The sequence below is a fragment of the Homo sapiens genome, chromosome 1 (genome assembly GCF_000001405.40).
Source record: "Homo sapiens chromosome 1, GRCh38.p14 Primary Assembly".
Lineage (NCBI taxonomy): Eukaryota > Metazoa > Chordata > Mammalia > Primates > Hominidae > Homo > Homo sapiens.
In genome coordinates, this window is record NC_000001.11 from 168,398,495 (window position 1) to 168,423,346 (window position 24,852).

A 24,852-nucleotide genomic window follows, 5' to 3' on the forward strand; every position below is an offset into this window, starting at 1 on the left:
TGCAGTGGTGAGTAGGATAAATAAAATTCCTCTGCTAAAGAAGCATATGCTCTAGTAGGGAAGACACAAAAAAGTGTATATTTAGCATGTAGTATGTAGCAACTAGAGCTAGGAGGAAAAGTAAGATAGGGGAAAGGGACAGCATTGTCTTTGGGAGGACCCAGGGTGGAGACAGTAGCCACTCTCCCCTGTTCAGAACCCAGGAGCACAGAGTGCAGGTCACAGCTCAAAGGGCATTGTATTTGGCTGTCCAATGTGGCTGTTCTTTTTTTTTTTTTTTTTAATACAAGCATCCATTTTTGTTTTAAGACATGAAATGAGGGAATGACCACATATCCTCTCTGTCTCTAATTGGAGACAGTGAGTTTGGGCAGTTAAGATCCTGGGATCATAACCAGGATAAGGCAGAGGTGACGATCTCCTCCTGCCTGGACCCCTGTCCTGGCCCATCACTACCCATAGGGTAGGGGTGTGTGTGTGTGTGTGTGTGTGTGTGTGTGTGTGTGTGTGGTCTGAGTGGGATGGGAAGGTGGATGGCTTGGTATACATAAGGTCTTTTTCAGAACACTTGAAATGCAGACCTTGTCTGATAATACTTCTGTGACTCGGGTATATTATCTTCACAGCTCACAGTTTCATGGGACATTTGTGCAGATGAAATTGATCAGCAGCAGGAGGAAAATAGTCGTTGCCTAGGCAACCAGTGGATGACTCATCCAGGCTTTGAAGCAGCCAAAGCCATGAGACTGCAGTAATTTTCCAGATGCTTAACTCGCCTTCCTCTTTCTCTTCTCTTTCGTTGTTTCCCACTCTCCATCCTTCATTTCTTTCTCCACACCCACTTCCCTGGATGCTGCTCACTAGATCCTGAGCTCTCTGGAGCAGGTATTGAGACCTTATCCCACCACTGCATATGTGGCTTGATCTGCTGCTGCTCCTCATTCTAGCAACCAGGGGATGGATGGCCAGGCTGCAAAAGTCTTATTGCTACAGAGCTCCAAGATGCTGCTTGTTGCCTTTAATCATAAAAAGTTTAAGTGAGTGTAGCACCTTTTCTCCTAATTGAATCTAACCTAAGCTTATCTGTTTGTCTTAGAGATCTGCAGAGCATTTCTTTGAGGAGAGGCAGTTAAACCTTGGGCTTCCCCAAGCAAAGTTGTGGAAATGATATTTAAAGGTGACAAAGCCCCTTTTGACAGCAGCTCTCTCTGCTGGGTCTTCTCATCCTCTTGGCTCACCTTTCCTCACTCATAGTCTGGGGTCTGATTTTCCAGGCTCTTCTTAATTATCCACCATATTCCCCTCTAAAAAGCAAAGTGATAGACGTTTAAACCATTCCCCTTTCCAAAGGCATTTTCATTTTAACAAAGAGCTTTCAAAGGCAAAGTATTTCAAGACCCCAAAGAAAAAAAAAATCTTTAATTAGCTTTTCAAATACAGATTTAGGCAGAGGGGCTTTGGTGGTGGTCTGTGCCTGGTAAAAAGGTTTTCCCCTGCACATCGTATGTGCAGTACCTTCTTTGCTGCTGATACTGACTTTAAAGACATTCATATTGGATACTTGTTGGTGCCTCAATTTTGTATCCCACCCCACCCCCCATACATGTGTATTCCATTCATATGTGTACACACACACACACCCTTGAGCAGCAGGAGCAACTGATGGGGAAAAAACAAACCCCAAGTGATAAACTTTAGTTCACTCGCTTTTACTAATTGGATGTATGTCAAGCATCTATTCAATGCAGAACATGGTGGCCATCATTGGGACTGGGATGTCTCAAAATGGCTTACAGTCAGAACAGATTAAAGGCAAGCAGACACACACTTCTGTGGGAATGAGTAATACAGTTTGGGGAGAGGGTGCTGCTTATGACTGCCTCTCAGAGTTTGCCCTCTGGGTCCCTTTACTGTTCTTGGTCTTAATTAATTCAGTTGGCTCAGGCCCATGAGAGCTTCCTCACTGGTGCTCCACCTGTCCCACCACAGTGTCACTCCACCTTGAGGTGACCTGCCTGCACAACCACCAGAGTCACAGACAGATGCTCGTTCCCTTCATCCTTTCCTGAAGACAGCTCTCCTTCTGGTTGCAGGGACCTTCACAGTCTGAAAAGACGCTGAACACATATCCTTCCAGTCTGTTTGTGCATTTACACATACAGAAACACACATGACTTCTGAGATAGGTGAGTCCTTAAAGGGTACACACTCCAGCCATCTGTCTAGTGCCGGCATCACTTTGAAAGCATCTCCAATGGTCATCGTTGTCATCTCACTGCACTTGAATGCCCCAGAATGAGCAGCTGCTTCTCACAAGAAAACTCCTTTGTTTTTGGACAAGTTTTAATGTGAATTTATTTGTGCACTTATTGAACAATTCCTTTACTCAACAAAAATGAATTGACCTGCCCATGGTTTTTAGACACTGGAGGTGCAATGGTGAGCAAAACCATCATTGCCAACATGGCTTATGGTCTTCAGGGGAGGCAAAATTAACTGAACAATCAAACAGAACTATATTACCGACAGGGAAGAGTCCTGGGAGGCAGCAGTGCCTGGGAGGGAGCAATGAGACCATAGGGTAGGGAACTCTGGGCCAGTGAAGATGGAAGGCAGGGGTCAGGGAAGTCCAGAAATGGCTTCCTTGGGAAAGTGATGCAGGGGCCAAAGAATGGAGTTAGCTGGGCAGAGCGGGGTTGGGTGGGAGGAAGAGCATTCCAGGCAGAAGGAATAGATTGTTAAGAGATTATCTTGAAGTGGCAGGAACCACAGCAGGTTTGAGAAAGGGAAAGGAGGCCAGTGTGGCTGGAGAGTCCAGAAATGGGCAGCAAACATGGCTTCCAGGACACTGTGGTGGAAGCCCCAGCTTACTCGCAGTGCAGTTCAGATGAGGGAGCGATAATGGTTTCTTGCTTTTTCTCTCCTTCTTCCTCTGCTCCATGTTGCCCTCCTCCTCTGACTTCTTCTGTTTTTTTTTTTTTTTTTTTTTGGGAGCTAGTGCTCTATAACTAATTTGGTCTTTCTCAGAAACCCCATCTGCTGAGGAGCAAAAATTTCAGTTTCAAAGCTTAGTGTGAAGTAAAAATATAAATACAGACAGTCCCTGAGTTATGGTGGCTCAACTTAATGATTTTTTGACATAATGATGGTGTAAAACTGTCACAAATTCTATGTAATGTACAGTATTCAATAAATTATTTGAGCTATTCAATGCTCTATTATAAAATAGGCTTCGTGTTAGGTGATTTTGCCCAAATGTAGGCTGAGGGAAGTGTCCTGATCACGTTTTAAGGTAGGCTAGCCTAAGCTACAATGTTCAGTGGGTTAGGCTGTAGTAAATGCATTTTCGACTTATAAGATACTTTCAACTTATGACACATTTATCAGGATGTAATCTCATTGTAAGTTGAGGAGCATCTGTCACCTTTTGTGAGTAAACATGCTCAGATGCAGCAACCCTGACCTGCAACTCTTCAAGATGGTTTTGAAGAGTAGGGTGGATTTTGGCTTACTTGGTACTTGTAACAGTAATGAAAAAAGAGACCTTGGAACCTTGCAGTGACTTGGACTGTCTTCTGCTTTTTTCAGTCTCTTCAGAAGTGTCCTTGTCTTCCTGGCCTCCAATTGCTCTGCTGATGTTGGTGGCTGTGGCCTGCTACTTGTGCATCTTGTAGCTGGGTTCTTTTTCCTTTTCTCTCTCAAATTGGTCAGAGCCCAGCATCTGCCCCCAGGATGATCTGATCTTGTCTCTGCTCTTGCTGTATTTTTGTCATGTTCTCCGATGGCTTTGTCCACATGTCCACCTGAAGTGTGTGGAGTAAAGTCTTCTGATTTCTGCTCCTATAAGTCCTGGTGCAGCAGGATAATTTAGGAATCAGAGAGACCAAAGGTCGAGGAGGATATATATTATTTATTATTTAGGTGCACCGGCCCAGTCAGATTAACATCCAAAAAGATTGAGCCCTGAACAAAGAGTCCGGTTACTTTTTAAGTATTTTGTGGGCCGGGGAGATCTGTGCAGGGGGAAGTATATTACAGAAGAGAGAAACAAAGACAGTTATTCAATTGAGACATGCATTACATTATTTCTTACTTTCCAAGGAAAAACACGTTTTATGACTTGAGTTTATCTGCCTAGTGACCTTGCAGCTGCACAGCTAGAGAAACAGGGTCTTCACAATGCCTGGGAAAGGTGGAGAGATAAGACTCACTAGCCACAGAAAAACAGGCAGTTAATTTTTAAAGGACTTCAGCTCTTCCTCTTCCTCAAGGGGAATTGGGTTTTCTTATATACAATGATATAATGAGTTTTTGCTTACACATTCTTTAATTTCTTTTAATTCCTGTTTCACTGGTAGGCTGTGGGCTCTCAGCTAGGAACTCACTGTATAAGGGGATGTGTGCAGGATGAGAAGTATGGACTAGATGTTTTGTTTTCTACCACAGAACAGCAAGGGGAACCTTCTGTGTTCTGTGGGGAACCCATGATTTCGGCAGCCAGACTTGATTCTGGATTAAGCTAAAAGAGAGGATAAAGGAATTCAGGAAATCTTTTCTTGCATGACTACTGGCTTGCTGCAAAATTCCATTTTAAAGTAAAAAATCAGAATATGAACTCTTCCTCCCAGCTTCTTTGCATTTTTCCTTTACAGTTTTCATCTTTCCCAGAGCAGATGGATGGCTCTGGCCATCTAGGGGATACATTTACTTTTTTGGGTTGGCAGAAGAGAAAAGTGTGTGGGGTGTGTCCATGTTTCAAAGTAGGATTTCTGTTACTATACTATTTTAAGGATTTTGGGTGCTTCTCCCTAGGATCACTGGGAAGTCACTGAAGCATTTTTAGCAAGGGAGTGACAGATTCAGATTTGCATTTTTATAAAGACCTTGCTGTCTACTGTAGAGAATAGATTGGATGGGGCAAGCTACATACAGGCAGATCAGTCGGCAGTTAGTGTGTGGTGGCAAAGGAGATAAACAGAGACAGAATTGAGGGATGTCTAGATGGTCAGACAATAGGATAGGGAGACGGATCAGATATAGGGTTGAAGGAGAAATAGGTATCAAGAAAGAACCTCAGTTTCTGCTTTATATGACTGGAGAAATCTGGGGACCATTTACTGAAAAAGGGAATAGAAGGAGATCCAGATTTAGAGAGTGGTGAAAAAATGATGTCCAGTAGGACATTTTGAGTTTAAAGTATCTCAGAGAAATGCAAATGGAGATGATCAGTAAGTGGTGGGATGTTTGAGTCTGAAGCCCAGGGCAGAGTCATTTATGTGTAAATGTCTTAGTCTGTTTGAGTGGCTTAACAAGATACCACAAACTGGGTAGTTTATAAACAATGGAAATTTATTTCTCACAGTTCTGGTGGCTGGAAATCCAAGATCAAAGTGTCAGCAGATTTGGTGTCTGGTGAGGGCCCACTTTCTGGTTCACAGATGGCTCCTGCTAGCTGTATCCTCATGTGGTAGAAGAGGCAAAGCAGCTTTCTGGGGCCTCTTTTATAGGGGCACTAATCCCATTCATGGGGGGTTCCATCCTCATGACCTAATCACCCCCTAAAGGCTCTATCTCCAAATACATCACATTAGTGACTCACTTTCAACACATGTGTTTGGGGGCACATACACATCAGACCATAGCTGTAAGTGAACATATGTGCAGTGGAAGCAAACAACCCAGGGAGGGAGCATGGAAGGAGAAGAGAAGTGGGTGTTGGATGATGAAAGAAAGCACAGAGGTCTGGTGGTAGATAGAGGTGACTTATATTAAAAGTATACAAAGAATTTATAGTAAGAGAGGCTTTTCTTGTTAAAGAGGGGAAAGCCTTGAGCACTTTTAAATACACAATCCTGAGATAGTGACAAAGTGAAGAGGAGAGAGTAGATGGATTTAGAGCACAGCTTCCCTATCTCCTTTCTCAGATAGGGAAAAAGAAACTTCCTCTATGACATAAAGGAGGGAGCAAGGGTTCACCTAGAGAAGATAGATTTGTAGTGGGGAGACCAGGACGTGAAGGCATTACCATCTGATGATCTCCGTTTTTGTTGTCATGTAGGATACAAGATCTCCTAGAAAGTGGATTGGCTTTTAAGGATGGAGTTTTGGTTGGGGATTTAAGGATGTGGTAAAGGTGTTGCTGTGAGGTAATGGGAGACAGGTGAACTGGGACAAATAGGGTAGATGATAGTATTTTGTTGTGTCATCTCCAGCCTTAACTTTATGTGTTTTTCCCACTCTGGCCTTTTCTTCTCTGACTCTTCCCAACCACTGGTTCTCAGGATCTATTGCCTTCTCCATTGGATTCTTTCCCCATCCCACCCCTAATTACTATCCTCAGACTGAGAAAATGATGCACCCATTGAGTTAACAAATCAAAGAATCACTCCATAAAGGTCAACCATTTGTTATTTGAATAAAACTTTAAAAACGAAACAAAACAAAACACCATTTCCCTTAATTCTCTGTAGCAAATTCTAAAAATTTACTTCCCTTCTTCCTTTTCCCCAAACTAGGTGTGCTAAGATTCCCTATGAGTTGCCCTTCTGCTAAAAGATTAAGAGAGGAGAATAAGTTCATGAGCATGGCAAGGCTGCCGGAAACTGCGAGATCCAATTAAGACCATTGTAAGCTTTGCTGCCATTAGAGGAAGAAAAGTTAATTGTATGAAATGAAGAAATATTTGAAAAACACAGTAATTTCAAAACATCTAAAAGCAATTATTTTGTTTTGGTCTGCGTGGAAAACATTAGAGTAAAAAACAGATTGAAAAATGAAGATGGCTAATGCTATTAATGACAACTTTATAATAAGAATACACGAAAAACAGTATGTATGACTGCCCTTCAAAACCGTAATATATTCTCAATATGTCAATATATGAACAATAAAAATATGCATAAAGATATAATGAATATATTGTACAATAAAAATATACATGAAGATATAATCAATATATTGAGAATATATTACCGATTTATTGGAGTGTAGCAGGATAGCATTAGCTACAGAATATAATTCTTCCTTTTAGAATTGTGATTGAAGTTCAAAGCTGAGCACAGAAGGTGCAAAGAGCATATATTCTACCTTCAGAGGACCATTGTGAGTTGCTGAGGCCAGTCTTCAGAGGACTGTACATAAAGAGGAGAACTGAAGAGAGAGGAAAAGGCTATCTTTTACAGGAATGCAGTGTTTGTGTTAAGGGATGATTCTTTTTCCTCCTCTTTGCCTCCTCCCCCTGTGGATATTGCAAGAGAGCTACCTATAACATTACAAATGGCTAAGGCAGGCCCTCTTGTAAGTTTCAAAACCACTGGGGCATCTGATTGTTGGTGGCTATTGGGGTATGGAGAAAGTCAAAGAAAGAAAGTGAGAGAGAGAATATAAATAAGGAGCTAGAATACATTTCCCCTGTTTGGTGTGATAAGAATGCTGTTGTTGAAATTAGATTTGGCTGCAGGTGACAGAAAACCTAACATAGCAGTATGACTTAAGTTAGATACTTATCTTGCTCTCTCATATAAACAAAGTCCATGGATCTGGGCAATCTAAAGGACTTCCAGTTCTGGTAATAATAGAGAGGCAATCTGGGCCAGCCACCGCTGCCAAAGGCAACAAAAAGCTGGGAAGAAAACCTCTCCTTAAAATCATCAAAGAGCTAGCAAGATAGTGAGACATACCAGGCTATGACCCAGAGAAATGAGTAGCACCAGGCCGCTTTTGTCCTGGGGGTACTTTTCAGTTCAAAGGAGACCAGAGAGACTGATTCGTACTTTCTGGTGGCTCCTGAAGAAGAGAGAAAAAGCAGTAATTGGTGGACCCTGGTGAATCACCTCTGCTTTATGCTGTGGCCCCAAGGGGCTGTACTTTAGGAGTGTAGATAAAACAGAAATTTATTTCCTTGCACAAAAGTCCAGTTTCTTTGTGTCATATGATGTTCCACAAATCCAAAGGCCTTCAACTTAGATTAAAGTGGTCTTCTACTGCTAATGTCTCTAGTGCTTGGTAGAAGCCAACAAAAATGCCCTAAGAAAATAATAATGTGTTAGGTCTCAAATTATTTCAGCAAATACTTTTGTTTCAAATAAAATATGGAGTACACCATCAAAGATAATGCAGCACATGAGGAAATAAGACATGATGAATAAGAACCAACAGAAAAAAAGACAGTTTAGGTACATAAGTGATAATAGATATTGGAATTATCAGACAGAGACTATAAAACAATTGTTTGCTCTCTTCGAGAAAATAAATACTTGAAAATTTTAGCAAAACCCAGAAATTCTAAAAAGTGACAGAATAGAGTTAAAAAGAGTATCAAATAGAAATCCTAGAACTAAAAAGCTCAATAAGAAAAGAACTCAGATGGAATTAACAGAAAATTAGATATAGTTGAAAAGAGAATTAGTAAATTGAATATTATTAGAAGAATCTATCCAGTATGGAGAGCCAAAAGGATAAAAAGACTGAAAAGAGGGTAAGAGACAGGGAGAGTACAGTGAGAATGTAGGACAATCATCTGACTCTTAGAAAGAGGGGAAGAAAATAGTGCATCTGTCAAATTTTTCTAATGGGGCAGAGGTGATATTTGAAGTGATAATGACAGAATTTTTCAAAACTGATTAAAGACATTACTCCATAATTCTAAGAAGTCTAATGTGTTCCAAACAATATATTTAAAAAGGATCCATGCTTAAACATATCATAGGAAGAAATATTAATACCAAAAAAATACCTTGGATTACCTTGAAAGTAGGAATAGTTTGGCCAACAGCTAACTTCTCAATAGGAGCAATGGGATTACAAATACAGAGCACTCAGCATTCTAAAAGCAGAAAACACCAAGTTAAAGCTCCATGTCTAAGGAGAATAAAGACATTTCCAGACAAAGCAAAACTGGGAGAATATGTCATCAGCAGATCAACAGAGAAGGAAATACTAAAGGATAAAGAAGAAGGAAAATGATGCCAAATGAGAGAATTTAAGATGAATGAGAATGTTAATATGCAGATAAATGGAACTAAATAATGCTGTATAAAGTAATCATCAGCATCATCATCATGTCCTTTGGAATTTAAAAAAAATCTACAGAATTAAATATAGGACAACAGTTGCCTACAATGGGTGGAGGAGGGGTCAGAGAATGGAGTTAAAATGTTCTAAGGTCTTTACATTGTCTAGGAGGAGTGAGGGTATCAATTATCATCAGAATTTGTTAAGTCATAAATACACATTATAATTTCAAGGGCAATTATTGAAACAATTCAAAAAAGTGTGTAATTTATGAACTAGTGGAGGGGAAGAAGTAAATGATTAAAATATAATCAAATACAGCAAGAAAGAAGAGAAAAAATGTAGAATAGGCATGTAGTAAATAACCGACTTAAGTGCTAACATGTCAAATTATGTTACATGTAAGTGGAGTTAAATACCCTAACCAAAGTTATCTGACTGTATTAGAAAGAAAGCATATACTCTTTACAAGAGAACAGCTTAAAGACTGCAAGTAAAATGTTAGAAAAAGATATACCATACAAACTGAAACCAAAACCAAAAGTCAAAGTACCTATTTTAAAATCAGATAAAATAGACTTTAAGAGAAAAAAAGCATTATTAGAAATAAACAATCTCTAGATAATGACAAAGGACAATTCCTCAGGTTATAAGTCACTTCTAAATTTCTGTACTCCAAGTAACATAATCCCAAAATACATAAAGTAAAAATTATCAAAACTTCAGGAATAAGTAGAGAAACTGACAACCATAGTGGATGATTTTACTACACTTCTGTCAGTAATGAATAGAGCAATCAGACAAAAATCAGTAAGAATTTAAAAGAGTTGAACAACACATTGAACAAACCTGAGAATATTTGGGGAACTGTTCTAGGTACTGGGGAAAGAGCAGTAGATAAAACAACAATCTTGGCTCTCATAGGGAAAGCTATGAAGAAACATCAAGCTTAGAAGGTAATACAGTGTACTAGGGGTTGAAGGGTGGTTTGCAAATTTTAGTGGGGTGGTCAAGGAACACCTGACTGAGAAGTTGACATTTGGGCAAAAATGTCAAGGTGGTGGGAGGAAAAGCATTCCAGGAAGAGCGAATAGCAAGGATACTCCTAATACCACATCCCAGCTCTCTCCCATTCCCGAGGGATGACCTCAAATATGAGGAAAGAAAGGGATTGCGTGAGAAAGGGAGTGGCAAAGTGGAGGGAACTTGACCTTGGAAAAGAAATCTAGAGGCAGAAATAAAATTTTGAACTTTGTCTCAAAAAAATTCTAGCTCTGGTCTTGGCTCAGAGGAAGAATAAAGTTGTAATGATGAATTTTTATTTTACAGGAATTTATCCATTTTTTATTCTATAGTCATTTATGCATTAAATAAAATTTCAAACCAAACACAGAGATCTCTAATCTCACCACCTTTGCAGGATTATTTTCATTAATTAGTTTGCCTTCTTGTCTTATCTATATGGATGCCTCTTTTTTTCAACTCATAAAACACCTTTATTGAGACCAGATATGAGTCACAGAGTTAGGTGACTCATCGCCCACAATTTCTTTGAGCCAGAATCTGAAGGTGAAAGGGTGATGATTTCCACGGATACCCTGTGAAGAATGGTTCTGGGGCATTCAACTGCACGAGTTGCTTGGTAGCTCCTGAGGGCATGATGGGTAATAGAGGATTAGAGCAGTTGAGTCAGAAGTCAGGGTCCTCAAAATAGGAAGGGCTGGGGCAAAAGCAGCACAAATAAGCCTAGTTTCTATTCTGTACACATGGGCAAAAAGGCAGCAAACAGCAGCATAAAAGGGAAGGAGGCCCAAATTAAAAAAAAAACTCACAAAACATAACACTTTATCAATAAGAAATCAATTTTCATCAGTCCACCCTGAGAGAAGCCATGGAAAAATTTAACCTCCTCAGCAGAAACTTATTCCTAAATTTCTAATGAATGTATACTCTTCACTGCAGATGTGGGTTGGTTCTGAATTTAGAATTATTTTGGAAAGTGATGGAGTCCCAAAACAGGAGGCTTGGGTGGATGGGCACTTTCTTGTCTTCAGAGTTGTGCTTTGCTGCTTTCCCCAGAAATTCCAGACCCCTCGGAAATCAAGTGGATGGGTTTCCTCTGCACTGCTGCTGTTGACTTGTTAGCCCATACAGTATGGCTTTAGCTGCTGCTTCTCTCTGGCTGGCTTTTACCCCAGCTTTCTAGGGCCCTATTGTATTTTTCTTTTTTAAGCTCTTAGCCAGAGTGGTGTTGAGTTTCATTCTTAGACTCCTTAATGCCAGGAACTGTAGACTCCATGTTTTGCACTTTCTTATCTGTCACATACTGGGGCCAATCATTGGGTCTTGTTGGTAGGAAATCCCACTGTCAGGTTGCTGGGAGCATTGCAAAGCAGACTGAAGGAATTCCCTGATGGGTAGGTGAGGAAGCCGTGAAGGCACCTCCCGACCCAGGCCATGCAATGTGAGGCTGAGGTGCCAGGTACTTCAATGGCGGGATCCTGGTGACCTGGTGCTGTCCAGGGCACTTCCTGTGCTCAGCTGTTAGTCTGGGCCCTCTAACAAGCCAGTGCCAAGATGGGATTAGGTGTGTGAGATTTTATTAAAGGACCATGAGAGGAAATGGGGAAGAGGCTGGGAACACTGGGAGAGCTATAAGACTGAAATGCAAATCTGACCCCAACGGAAGGAGGGAGGAAGGGGAAGGTAGGTGGAAGCATTTTAGACTTCTGTGTAGCCTAGGGAATGTTCAAGAAGGCCTTTGACAGTCCTGGAGCCTCAGAGTGCCATGTCTCACAGGAGCGGGTCAGCTGTAGCATCCTTGCTGCTCTCATCTATGACCAGAGCTTCTGGGGAAGCAGGGCCTCCATACAAACACCACAATGGGTTTCAGAGAGCAATGCATTTCACAGAGCAGGAGCTGGCACTACTGTCCATTATGCTCCAGGGTTGGAGTGGTGGTGGGAGGTGCTTGTGGGGGTTTGGAGGTTTGCAAGGTGCGTACCCATGGCTGCTATATAAAGTTCTAGAACTGTCTTACTAGACCGCAGATAGGTGTGAATCTTCACCTCAGTAGGTGCTAACTGTGAAGTGAAACCAATTATATTCACATGGAAAAAAAAAGTATCTCTCTAGTAGACGTGACCTCAAAGGAAGGAAGCAAAAGCAGCAGGAGGGAAAAGGGCTCCAGGTGGAGGGAGTTGAGCCTTTTATTTGGGCTGTGAACAGCGCCCTTCACCATTAGACTCCATCTTTACCGCGCTTCATTCTTCGCAGCCTCCTCCTAAGACACTAACTAGCAATTCCAAATATTTCATCTTCACTCACAGGTTATACTCCTTTATATGACCTCCGAAGGCTAGCTGATGTATTTTTCCCTTGAGGATTGAGGTAGGACAGAAAAAGAATAAACCATATATGTGGGCTGCTGCCTGCAAAAGTCTTTCCAGATCTCTAGTGAGTGACAGCCCAGGGTAGCGTTTGGTGTACCAGCAAGACCCTGCAACCCTCAGTCAAGAAACTCAAGTTCTAGTCATTTTTTTTTGTCCATCAGTTACTTCATGATCCAGGCAGTTTGTTTCCTTCTCTGAGGCTTTAATATCCTCAGCTGCAGAATGAGAGAGCAGGCAACTTTTTTCAAAGGATTGATATTCTATAATGTCTATATGTTATTTTATTTTAAAATTAATTAATTATTTATTTCAGAGCCAGTGTCTCACTCTGTCTCCTGGCTGGAGTCAGTGGCATGATCATAGCTGACTGCAGCCTTGAACTCCTGGGCTCAAGGGTTCCTCCAGCCTCGGTCTCCCGTGTAGTCCTCTATTTTAAAATGGCAGGTGTGTACGGGAGAGGCAGTGGGCTGGAAATCAAATGTCCTCAAGTTTTACCAAACACTTCTTTCTGCCATTTTTCTACTTCAATTATTGCATTTCTACAGTCCTGAATTGTCATTGTTTACTTACATGTCTGCCTTTAAACTGTGAATTTCTGGAGGGCGGGATCCATATCTCTCCTATGTTCCAGAGCCCCTTACACAATGCCTAGTACACAGCGAGTGTGCCGTGAATGCTGGTGGGATTGGCTAAAGAAACAGTGATGCGGCCGGGCGCCGTGGCTCACGCCTGTAATCCCAGCACTTTGGGAGGCCGAGGCGGGCGGATCACGAGGTCAGGAGATCGAGACCATCCTGGCTAACACAGTGAAACCCCGTCTCTACTAGAAATACAAAAAATTAGCCTGGCGTGGTGGTGGGCACCTGTAGTCCCAGCCACTCGGGAGGCTGAGGCAGGAGAAGGGCGTGAACCCGGGAGGCGGAGCTTGCAGTGAGCTGAGATCACGCCACTGCACTCCAGCCTGGGTGACAGAGCGAGACTCCGTTTAAAAAAAAAAAAAAAAAAAAAGAAAGAAACAGTGATGCAGTGGCTAGATGTGGTTAGCACTGTGAGAAACTGTGAGCTTGACATGCCTGGGTTCAAATCCTAGTTTTGCCACTTGCTAGTTGCGGTCCTTGGACAAGTTACTTTTTGAGCCTCCATTTCCTAATTTTAAAATGGCTGTAATAGTTCTTACCTGGCAAGGTTATTGTGAAAATTAAGTGAGATAATTCATGTCATGTGCTTCTCAGCACATGGCAGATGCTGTTTTGAAGACTTTGTCACTTTGGTCCTGTGACCATTATGCTAAAGGCTAGAAGTGAAGGTTGGGGAGATTAGTAATTCGATTGTTAATCCATAACAAAATATTTCAGGATATTTTGGTCTGCATTTTGCAGGAAATATCTTAATTCTAACCTGCATTTTATCATCTACCACAGACCTAAGTAGTCTTTTAATTGGCAGTAGCATTACTGTCTCTGTCTGTGAAAAATAGGCAGTTCTCCAAAGACCTTTCCATGTCTGTGCTGAAAGGTACAATGCAGAATTTTGCTGTAGTGAGTCTGCAGGCACTGTCTTGCTGAGGAAGCATCTTAGACTTCCCGAAGCTGGCTTTGTGAAGTTGCTGTTTCACATAATAATACATTTGGCCTAGAAAGGGCCTCAGGAACATCACTGTCTTTTATACTGTGAACCCGATTATATTAAAAAACTCCCAAAGAGCAAGTCAATCACTTTTCTCCTTGGGCCTCTTTGATGCCATTTAGAAAGGTATCTTGTCAGTGGAGTACTGGTACCTGTACCTCCCTGTGATCTATATGGTCTGGGGCAAGGTGCAAATCAAATGCCCCCTGCCTTCTGTTTGTAGAAGAAGAAAAGCAAAAGACAGGAAAATATATTCATATTTACTAACCTGGGACTTTCTGATTGGAGACTGATTATCACTTGCTGTTCAAGTTTAGATGGGTCAACAAAAAAATGTATCTCCATCCTCAGGAACGTCATTCCAGTTGAGTTTGATTTTATTTATTCATGTGCTTGTAACTAAAAGTTTCCTCTGGAAGGAATAAAGTTATAGGAAATTAAACAAAATTATTAACAGTTTCTCTGTCTTCTTAATGCCACAATTAAATATTGCTCCCACTAATTATAATAGTAGTTATCCTTCATTGAATAATTAGTATATGTTAACTATTGTGCTAAGTGCTTTACATGTTTCATCTCTTTTTCATTTTTAAAACAATTTGCAAGGAAAGAAGTATTTATTCCCTATTTTGCTGTAAAGGAAACTGAGACTCCACAAATGACAGATCTTTACCTAATTTCATTACAATGTCCTTCATTTAATACTCTGCTTACCTGACACGCAACTCTGCCTTCTGAGCCCTCGTGTCTACATTTGTAGGCCTTCAGTCTCTTCCCTCACTGTTGTTCCAAATGCAGTCTCAGCAGTGACCCTAGTATCTGAGTATCTGAGCATGGGCTGGCTGCAGTCCATCACTATTGGTTGTTCTGGGACCTTTTTGCTTTTTTGCTTATATTCTAGGTAGATGAGGATATCAGGTCACTACCAGAAAGGAGCTATGGTGCTGTGTTATTTTGTAAAACTGGTGGTAAATATATGGCATTTGATAAATCTTGAGATGGTATAGGCTCAAAGTAAAAGTGGGTTTTAGAAAGTATTTAGGCAGGCCGGACATGGTGGCTCACACCTGTAATCCCAGCACTTTGGGATGCTGATGGGGGTGGATCACTTGAGGTCAGGAGTTCAAGACCAGCCTAGCCAATGTGGTGAAACCCTGTCTCTACTAAAAACAAAACAAAACAAAAATTAGCTGGGTGTGGTGGCAGGCGCCTGAGGAGAAGGTAGCAATATTCAAACAATGTGATCATAGGAAACAGGGCAGCGCTTCGCAGCTAACCCAGTGAATTCAAGTCTATCTCTGACACCAGCAGGATGTTTCCTGCTACAGCTTAATGGTTTTCTCTGTTCTTAACATCCTAACTTCCAATTAAAATTGTCTCTTAAGAGACCTGTGGATCCAATGCCCTCATTTACAGATAAGAAAACGGGGCCGGGCGCCGTAATTCACGCCTGTAATCCCAGCATTCTGGGAGGCCAGAGGGGGAGGATCACGAGGTCAGGAGTTCCAGACGAACTGGGCGACAAAAAAAAAAAAAAAAAAAAAAAAAAAAAAGTAAAGAAAAAATCTATCTCAAAAAAAAAAATAAAGTATTTAGGTAAATGTATACAAGAGGTTTTACTACGAATATGCGGACTAAGATTCCTATGGCTATCACCTCTTCTTTTGTTCTGCTTCTCTTGGGAACATATGTTCCTCAAGTCCCAGCAGGCATCTTCATCAGTTCTACTGGACAATGTGTGGTGCCACCCAGCCCATCATTCTGGTACTCATTTCCACCAAGTGTGGATGGCGGGTTGGTGAGGGAGAGTGAAGAGGTGCCTGGTATCTGCAAGCCTGGTTTCTCTTCTCAACTGTACCACCCACCAGCTATGAGACTTTGGGGGAAGTCAATTAATCTCTCTGGGCTTCAGTTTTCTTTTTTTTTTTTTGAGACACAGTCTCGCTCTGTCACCCAGGCTGGAGTGCAGTGGCACGATCTTGGCTCACTGCAACCTCTGCCTCCCAGGTTCAAGTGATTCTCCTGCCTCAGCCTCCTGAATAGCTGGGATTACAGGCGTGTGTCACCACACCTGGCTAATTTTTGAATTTTTAGTAGAGACGGGGTTTCACCATGTTGGTCAGGCTGGTCTTGAACTCCTGACCTCATGGTCCGCCTGCCTCGGCCTCCCAAAGTGCTGGGATTACAGGCATGAGCCACCGCACCCGGCCCAGTTATTTTATCTATAAAACGAGGGCACTGGATCGACAGGTCTCTTAACAGACCATTTTAATGGGAAGTTAGCATATTGAGAACAGAGAAAACCATTAAGCTTTAGCAGGAAACATCCTGCTGGTGTCAGAGATAGACTGTTGAATTCATTGGGCATAGCTGCGAAGCGCTGTCCTATTTCCTATGCTCAAATCATTTGAATATTGCTACCTTCCCCTCAGATGTTGAAAGCATGTCTTCCTTTTTCAGATGAGAGATCCGAGGCTAATTTTGGCCATTGGTTGGCCATGGACTCTTAGTTATTGCTGATTACTTAATTTGCAGGGCAAATGCAATGTCAAGGAATGGCAGATGACTGGCAGCTGATGTGATGGTAGCCAGGAATAATTGCCAGTAAATGGAGAGGGCTGCCCTACTTTGCTTTACTAAAGTTAGCAGGCGCCTGCAGAGACTTGTATGGCTCCTAATGATTTTTGTTAAGTTTGGAGAACAGTTGGACTGTAGATTAATTTCACCATGTTTCTTCCTGACATTTTTCATTTAAAAGGTGCTAAAATTCTAAAATGAACAAAAATCAAGTGTCTTCTTTACTCAAGGGGAAAATTGCCTCTTTGCAGAAATGCTTTCTAAGGAATATTGACTTCTTGATTTGACTGAGACATTCATCTGTCATGAGCTTCCTCACTGACACTACTTACCTTTCTTCTTCCAAATATTTGTTTCTATGCACGTTTGTTCTTTCTTCTCTTTTGTCTGAGATAAAAAGATAGTGTTCTTCCTTTCTAAGTACCAACTCTTCCACCTGCACTCTGGAATTATCTTTCTGATTTCAAAAGTAATACATATTTATTGCAGAAAATTTGGAAATTGTGGAGATGTAAAAGAAGAAAATAATATCACTCATAATCCCACCACGTAGAGACAGTTGCTGTAAACATTTTGAGGTCTTTCTGATTTTTTTCTAAGCACACTTTTTAAAATAATAAAATTGGGATTCTATTGTACACTAATTTGAATGGCACTTAAAAAATTAATATACAAAGAGCATTTTCCATGCTATTAACTTTTTTTTGAGAACCTTGTTTTAATGACTGTATTGAATTTTATTGTGGGATTGTATGCTAATTTGCTAAACTGTTCCTTTCACCTGGCATTAAGGCTTGTCCCTGCACTTTTGATCCTGTCCTTTCTTAGCTCCCCTGAGAGTGCGCCCTTCCATCATGCCTCTGCTCTTCCTTCATCACCGTGGCATTTTCCGCTGATGCTTTCTTGCATCTTCAGGCACACAGGTGCATCTCTACTCTCATCTCTAATCTGCTGTGTCATTTTGGATGTTTCCCATTTCAGCCTCTGGTTTTTTCATGGTATCATAGTCTATGAACTGAATGTTTTGTCTCCTACAAATTAATATGTCGATATCCTAACCTCCAATGCGATGGTATTTGGAGGTGAGGCCTCTTGGAGGTCATTAGGCCAAGAGGGTGGAGCTCTTATAGATGGGATTACCGCCCTTATAAGAAGAGGCTTGAAGGAGCTTACTTCTGTCTTCCACTGTTTGCCATGTGAGGATCAAGGCTCATTTTTCCTCCACATGCACCCCTTGATCTAATCTAATTGTATTGCACGTGTACACCCAGACATTCTGCTCATGACCTCCTTTCTGGCCGTCATGCTTAAGCATGATACATATTCATCGAAACTACTGACAAAAATGTCAAACCTCAGCCCTGTGGCTCAACATTAGGGACTTACAAGATGAAGCCAATCTACTTATCAACAGTCTTTAAGCAAAGATGATTTAGCCAATTGTTTATATAGAGAATGGTTGAACATTGCAGCCCATGTTTCTCCATTCTGCCTCCTGGAATATTGTTAGTGGTCCATTTGAAACTTTGGAGTAGGTCAGACATGCTGCACCTCCACATTTCCCTAATCATCACATCCAGCTTCTCAGAGCAAAAAGGGAGGAGACATTGTCAGGTTCTGATCTTCATGAGGCCATGCTGGCTCCTGGGGATTACTGCTGCCTCTTCTAAAGGTTCAGAAGATTTCTTATTAAGCCACTCCAAATTTGTGAATTTTTTTGCTCCCTGTTTGAAAAATTGAAACTATCTGTGTTGATTGTTTGTTGATATCCATAAGGTGACAGATGGAGGTTGCAGGCCATGTGCCTGGGGTGCACTTGAAATGGGTCCGTGGTCTTTGTAGGCATTTGTTGTGGGGAGGACTTAGTTCTCCTGCTTTCCCTCTGTTCCATGACCCTGAACTAAGGCCCACTGCCCCTTCTAATGCTGCAGCCACCAGCTGCACATAGTAGGGTGGTAGGCAGAATAACACTCCTGAAAGATGTGCATGTTCTAATCCCTGGAACATGTGAACAGGTTGTCTCACAGGGCAAAAGGGCTTTGCATATATGATTATATTAAAGATTTGAGATGGGGAGATTATCCTAGATTATCTGGGTGGGCACAATGCAATTACATAGGTCCTTAAAAGAGTTAAAAAAGGATTTGAGGATGGAGGAAGGAACTATGAGTCAAGGATGCAGGCAGCATCTGGAAGCTGGAAAAAACAAGGGAGCAGATTCCCCATAGAGCCTTCAGAAAGAACATAGCCCTGCTGACACCTTGATTTTAGCCCCGTGAAATCCATTTCAGATTGCTGATCTCCATAACTGTGAAATAATAAATCTGTGTTGTTTTAAGCCACCAGAGTTGTGGTGATTTATTATCACAGCAATAGGAAACGAATACAGTAGGTAACCAACAGACATTTTAAATTCTTGAGTTTTGAAAAAGGCCTTAATACCTGTCTACTGTGATCCTTATCCTGAATTCCCCTTTTTATGACTTCTGTCAAAGGGGAAGCCTGTGGTGGGAATTGGGATTGGAAAGAAGAGTACAGCCAAAGGAAAATGGGAGATGAGAAAGCATAGGTAAGTATGCTTTATTTTGGAGACATAATTCATGTAACATTTCACCCATTTAAAGTATAGAGTTCAGTAGATTTTAACATATTCAAAGAGTTGTGCGACCATCACCACAATTGATTTGGGAACATTTCATCATTCCAAAAGGAAATCTACCTATTAGCAGTCATTCTCTAATCCCTCTCACCCCCAATTCCTGGCAACCATTAATCTACTTTCTGTCTCTATAGATTGATCTATTGTAGACATTTTACACGCATGGAATCATACTGTATGTGGCATTTTATGTCAGGCTTCTTTCACTTGGTATAATATTTTCAGGGTTCATCCATGTTGCAGCATGCATCAGAACTTCATTCCTTTCTATTGCTGAGTAATATTCCATTGCATGGATAGGACCACATTTTGTTTAACAATTCATCAGTTGATGGACATTTGGGTCGTTCACACTTTTGGCTTTTATGAATGATGCTGCTATGAATAATTGTATGCAAATTTTTGTGTGGATATATACTTCCATTTCTCTTGGCCGTATACCTAGGAGTGGAATATCTAGGTCATTTGGTGACTTTATGTTTAAACCTTTGGGGAGCTACTAGTCTGTTTTCCGAAGGAGCTGCACCATTTTCTTATACCTTCCCACAAGCAATGCATGAGAAACCATCATCCACAGGAATTCTTGCTGGCCTCTGAAAGTTAGGTAAAGGACATAAAATGCAAAATGTGGATAAGAAAGAGTGGCCTGGATGTTTTCAGAAGTAAAACAGCATCAAAAGAAACTTGGGTGACCAGTTGGCCTGGAAACTCTTGAATGATACCTGGATTTTTTTTTTTTCTTTCTGAGAAACAGTTCATACTGGCTAAAATCTATCGGCAAATGGCTGCAATAAATTATTTTGATGATTTTAGTCTGTTTGGTTTCTTTGCATTTCATTTGATTAGTTTTTGAGAAATTCTGATGACTAATGCCTCTGAAGAGCTTCTTGAACCACAACACAATGGGGCAGGACTAAGTGCTCCATATGAATAAACACATACTATTATTCTTAGTTAAAAATAACATCATTTCAAGTTGAAAAGCATTGTGCATTTTGGAATTTTCATTAATTTGTTAGGGTTGACATAATAAAGTACCACAGACAAGGTGGCTTAAACAACAGAAATGTATTCTCTCATAATTCTGACGGCTGAGAGCTGAATCAAGGTATTGGCAGGTGTTGTTTCCTCGGAGGCCTCTCTCCTTGGCTTATAGGTGGCCATCTTCACCACCTATGGGTATGTCTTCACATGGCCTTCCCTTTATGTGTATCTGTGTCTTAATCTGCTCTTGTAAGGATATCAGTCATGAGGGCCCCCCTTGATAACTTCATTTACCTTAGTTACCTCTTTTTTTTTTTCTTTCTGAGACAGAGTCTCACTCTATCACCCAGGCTGCTGTGCAGTGGCACCATTTCAGCTCACTGCAACCTCCTCCTCCTGGGTTCAAGTGATTCTCTTGCCTCAGCCTCCTGAGTAGCTGAGATTACAGGTGTGTGACACCATGCCCGGCTAATTTTTGTATTTTTAGTAGAGACGGGGTTTTGCCATGTTGGTCAGGTTGGTCTCGAACCCCTGACCTTGTGATTTGCCTGCCTCGGCCTCCCAAAGTGCCTACCTTAGTTACCTCTTTAAAGACCTTACCTCCATATACTGGGGGTTAGGACTTCAACATAGGAATTTTTGGGGGATACAATTCAGCCCAAGACAAAGTTCAGTATCATAAAATCATACTTACTATACCAAAGGGGTCTGGGCTAGTGGAGAAAACAGACTTTAAAAATCTATATTATTTTTACTGTGTGTCTTTAGGTAAAAGCATAAGCCTCAAGTCCTTATTAAACATGGAAAGATGTTTATTCTTGGTGCAAGAATGAAGGGTACTGTGCGACTTAGAGCAGACTCGAGAAAAGGTTAAGTGGATGGATTCTTAATTGTTCTTCTACCTTCCCCTACGTTTCCCCCTCACTCATTACAGTTAGGTATCAATATCTTCTTGCTGTAACCCTTCCATTAAAACCTGTTCTCACTATCTGCAACTTATTCATGCTATAATATGAATGTCCGACAACCACTTCAGGAGTTTTTTTCTGCTTAATGTTTTATTTTTCCAGAGACCCGAGCCTTAAGCCAAAGGAGTCATGCCTTAAAGGAATTTCAGAGATCAGTTAGGGGATGAAGAAAGTATTTCCTGAAATCCTTTTCAGTACCCTGGATATCACCCCACCCAGATAATTGCTTACTCACCCTTTTACAATGTCAGCCTTGATGATAACTCAGACGAAAGATGTACTTAATTAAAAATAAAGCCCAACACCAGAGAAAGATGTCTTGTAGACAAATTTTCTAGCCCTAGTGTTACCCACCTGTGTTGCTAATGATGGTATACTTTTTAATGTGAGTCAACACGTGCTGGCTCCCATTTTCAGTGTTCCTAGATTTTTATCTGCCTGCCTTATTTTCAGAGGAACTGGCCTAACATCTCATGAGTGTTGATACTATTAGAACTGACCAATATTTGGGTTGGTTGGGGGGTGGGGTGGGCCTGGGAGGCTGGCTTTCCTGTTGGTCTCTAGCCTGTAGAACTGTTGTTGTCGATCATGTAGAATGAAAACTCCAACTTTAATGGTGCTCATTACATCATTCACTGTCTGAAGAGCATGCACACTGTAAGTTACCACAAGAAATGATAGCCGAGGATGGAAGCCTGAATATATTTGATCTTCATGATTTCAGTGTCTGGAGTGATGACTAGATATCTTTGTACCACTTTCCTTTCTAGTGGCTGAAAAGGTGTCTGATTCAACAGAAAAGTCCTTCAAAGTTTATACAAAACAATTTGTCTCAGAGCTTCTTGATTATGTAAAGGCCTCTTTAGCTTTGAAATGAGAAAATAATCGGAATCTTCCTATTACATTCTGGGAAACATACTCAGAGACATAACAATTCAGGAGGAAAAAAGGACAAAATGCCTTCCCGTCTCACCAAAATTGAATTAAATAAGTGGAGCCTGGCAAAGGGCAGGCTTTATGTAGAAGTGATTTCCCCCTAGATCTAGAGATGACCTGATAGCCAAAGGTTGAGATTCATTTGATTAAAGCCTAAACTTCCATCTTTTATGTTATGAGTCTCTTTGAGATTTATAATCCTCATTTATAAAATGGGATTAATATTTTTACTTGTTAGTGTTACAACAAAATAAGATAATATAAGGTTTGTAAAGCACCAAGCACACAAATATTAGATTACTTTTCCTTGCCTTGGTAGCAAAACTCTCTAAAAAACTCACTTATTATGAACATGTTGAATTTGTTTGAAAAGTAGAAAGAGAATAGTAAGATGAACACAACTTAAGATGAACACACCTAGATTTAACAATTGTTAACATTTTACCATATTTACTTAATCTCTTTTTAGTTATTTTCTGAAGAATTTGAAGTAAATTACAGACATAACTTTATTTTAACTTGAAATATTTAACATGTGCCTTGAAAAATGAACATATTCCCCTATAACTACAGTATCACTTTAGTCTAACAAAACTGATAATAATTTCTCAACATCAGCTGATACTTAGTCTATATTGAAAATTTCCGGTGGTTTCCAAATGTCTTTCAAAGCTGATTTATTCAAGCAAGATCCTGATATGAGCATCTCATCAGGGAACTCTATTTTATCTCATTGCTGCCCACTAAGGGGGCCAACCTTGTTCTGTTGTTTACTAGTCAGCAGATCTGAAATTCCTCCGTAAGTCAGGCTAGGAACATACTTTAAGCTAACTCAATACACAAACTTAAAAAGATAAATTGTGCACAACAGCAAATGACTCATATGTTTTCAGGGACTGTTTGAAGACTTGAAGTTGTGGTCTTCCTTTTGGTACATCTCAGCGTGCAAGCATAGGTGCTTGAATGACAGGAAGATGATTAGTGATAGTGGGTTTGGGGTGATGCAAACAGGAAGAAAAACTCATTTACATGGGGAATCTAAAATAATTAAATGTACAGAAGCAGAAAGTAAAGTGGAAGTAGGAAGGGAAACTAAAATTCGGGGATCCCAGTGGAGGAGGTGGCTTTGCATGAGGATGGAATGGACTCATCAGTACCCCACATAGGTTTAACTTACCACTTATCATGGCTCAGTGGAAAGGCACAGATCTGGGTCCAGATCCCAGCTCCACTCTTCTAGCTGCATGACCTTGGGAAAATTACTATACATTTCATACTTTAGTTTTGTTTTTTCTTCTGTGTTGTGCTAATACTTTTGTCTACTTTCCATAGATGTTGAAGAGATTATAGCAGGTGAACATAGAGTTCTAGTTATATAGTAACCGCACATAAAAAGTATCTATCTATCTATCTATCTATCTATCTATCTATCTATCTATCAATCATCTATCTTCATTATTATTATTATTACAATACTTTACCTCCTATGGTGGTTGGTGCTTCCAGCTCTATTGATGAATGCATCCCACACACAATTGTGCTCAAAATGTCATGACCTAAAGTGAAATAAATACAGGAGACATAGAGACTTATCATAGGATAGGGGTTTTTTGTCATATTTCAAGCAAAGCAGTTCTCCCCTGATCCCTGTCCATCTCCTAACCCTCTTGGTCCATATGGAGGTACTGCAGCTCAAGGTCACAAGGCTATCCATGGCTGAAGCCTCTCTCTAACTCCCAGATGCCAAGACCTTGCAAAGCTCTGCCTCCTGCTGGCCCTACTTCCCAAGGTCAGTCCTGGACCTAGCCCGGTGGCCAGAGGGTCTTATAAGCACCCTCAGCTCAGCTCCAAAGAGAAAACTATCTCTCCCAACTACCTTGGTGGCCAAATTATCCTTTTCTAAAGCAGCTTTATTCCTATAGAATTTAGAAAGCAAAATACTTTTGTTTTCCCAGGAGAGAGGTTTTCACAACAGTGTTTGGCAGGTACTTGTCATTGCTCAAGGGTTGCTAGGAGACAAATGAAGGCTGGCTTAAGACAGTTGCAAAGCATGGAATTCTACTCTCTAGAACTGCAGTCTTGATTTCAAATTTTAGCTTGCATCTGAATCACCTGGGGGTAGTTAAGATTCAGGTTCCTGGGTCTCTGGGTCTGGGATAGCTTGTGTTTCTAATAAACCTTCTAGTATAGATGACCCAGGGATCAGGATCACACTTGGAGAAACATGGAAGCAAGTCAACTTGCCTAACAGTGAGTCTGTGGAAGTACCTCTCTGGCAATTGGTTTTCAGTGAATTGATTAAGAGCTGGGAAACATTTTCCTAAAGAAAATAGGGTCTTTTCAGCATGATTTCAGGGATATAGATCTCCACAGTCATTTATCAGTGCTGGAGTGGTGTTCGGGATTCTTTGCCTTTATTATCAAAAGCTTCTGTAGCCTGTTATCATTGACCTGATCATTGACCAGGTAGCCAGGAGAGGGAAGGAGGAGCTTTCTAGGCCATGGAACGTCACGTGAAAGGCCTGTGAAGGGAAACATATGAAGAGCTGAAGGATCTGAAAGGTATTCAGCAGGTAAATTAATATGATTTGGTGCTAGATTGGCTTTGGGGAATAGCATGGAAAAGATGATGCCCATGATGGGTTCTGGTTTCTGCTTATCCACCTGGTTGGTATCATTCAGGAAGTTAGGAAACACT

The 24,852-nt window shown here is 40.9% G+C and overlaps 2 long non-coding RNA genes across 10 annotated transcripts in view; both read right to left on the minus strand.

Annotated features, from left to right (window-relative positions):
* Window positions 1-1,696: 1,696 nt before the first annotated feature.
* LOC100505918 (uncharacterized) lies at window positions 1,697-24,162 on the minus strand. Of its 3 annotated transcripts, none has more exons than NR_176059.1 (5): window positions 24,096-24,162; window positions 23,636-23,710; window positions 14,299-14,442; window positions 8,745-8,824; window positions 1,697-3,849 (listed from the first exon to the last, which is right to left on the minus strand). It is a non-coding gene; the product is annotated as an uncharacterized LOC100505918 (long non-coding RNA). The 3 variants fall into 3 exon arrangements; NR_176058.1 differs by lacking the exon at window positions 8,745-8,824 and adding an exon at window positions 15,098-15,193; NR_037851.2 differs by lacking the exon at window positions 8,745-8,824.
* The window catches only part of LOC125312414 (uncharacterized), a 95,450-nt gene continuing 72,294 nt past the window's right edge, over window positions 1,697-24,852 (minus strand). For 3 of the 7 annotated variants that reach the window (NR_176089.1, NR_176090.1, NR_176088.1), the window contains 4 exons: window positions 23,636-23,710; window positions 14,299-14,442; window positions 8,745-8,824; window positions 1,697-4,013 (listed from right to left, as the gene is read on the minus strand). This is a non-coding gene — a long non-coding RNA (uncharacterized LOC125312414). Of the gene's footprint in view, window positions 4,014-8,744; window positions 8,825-14,298; window positions 14,443-15,097; window positions 15,194-23,635; window positions 23,711-24,852 lie in introns of all 7 variants that reach the window. The other 4 variants (NR_176084.1, NR_176087.1, NR_176085.1 and 1 more) reach the window with 3 other exon arrangements.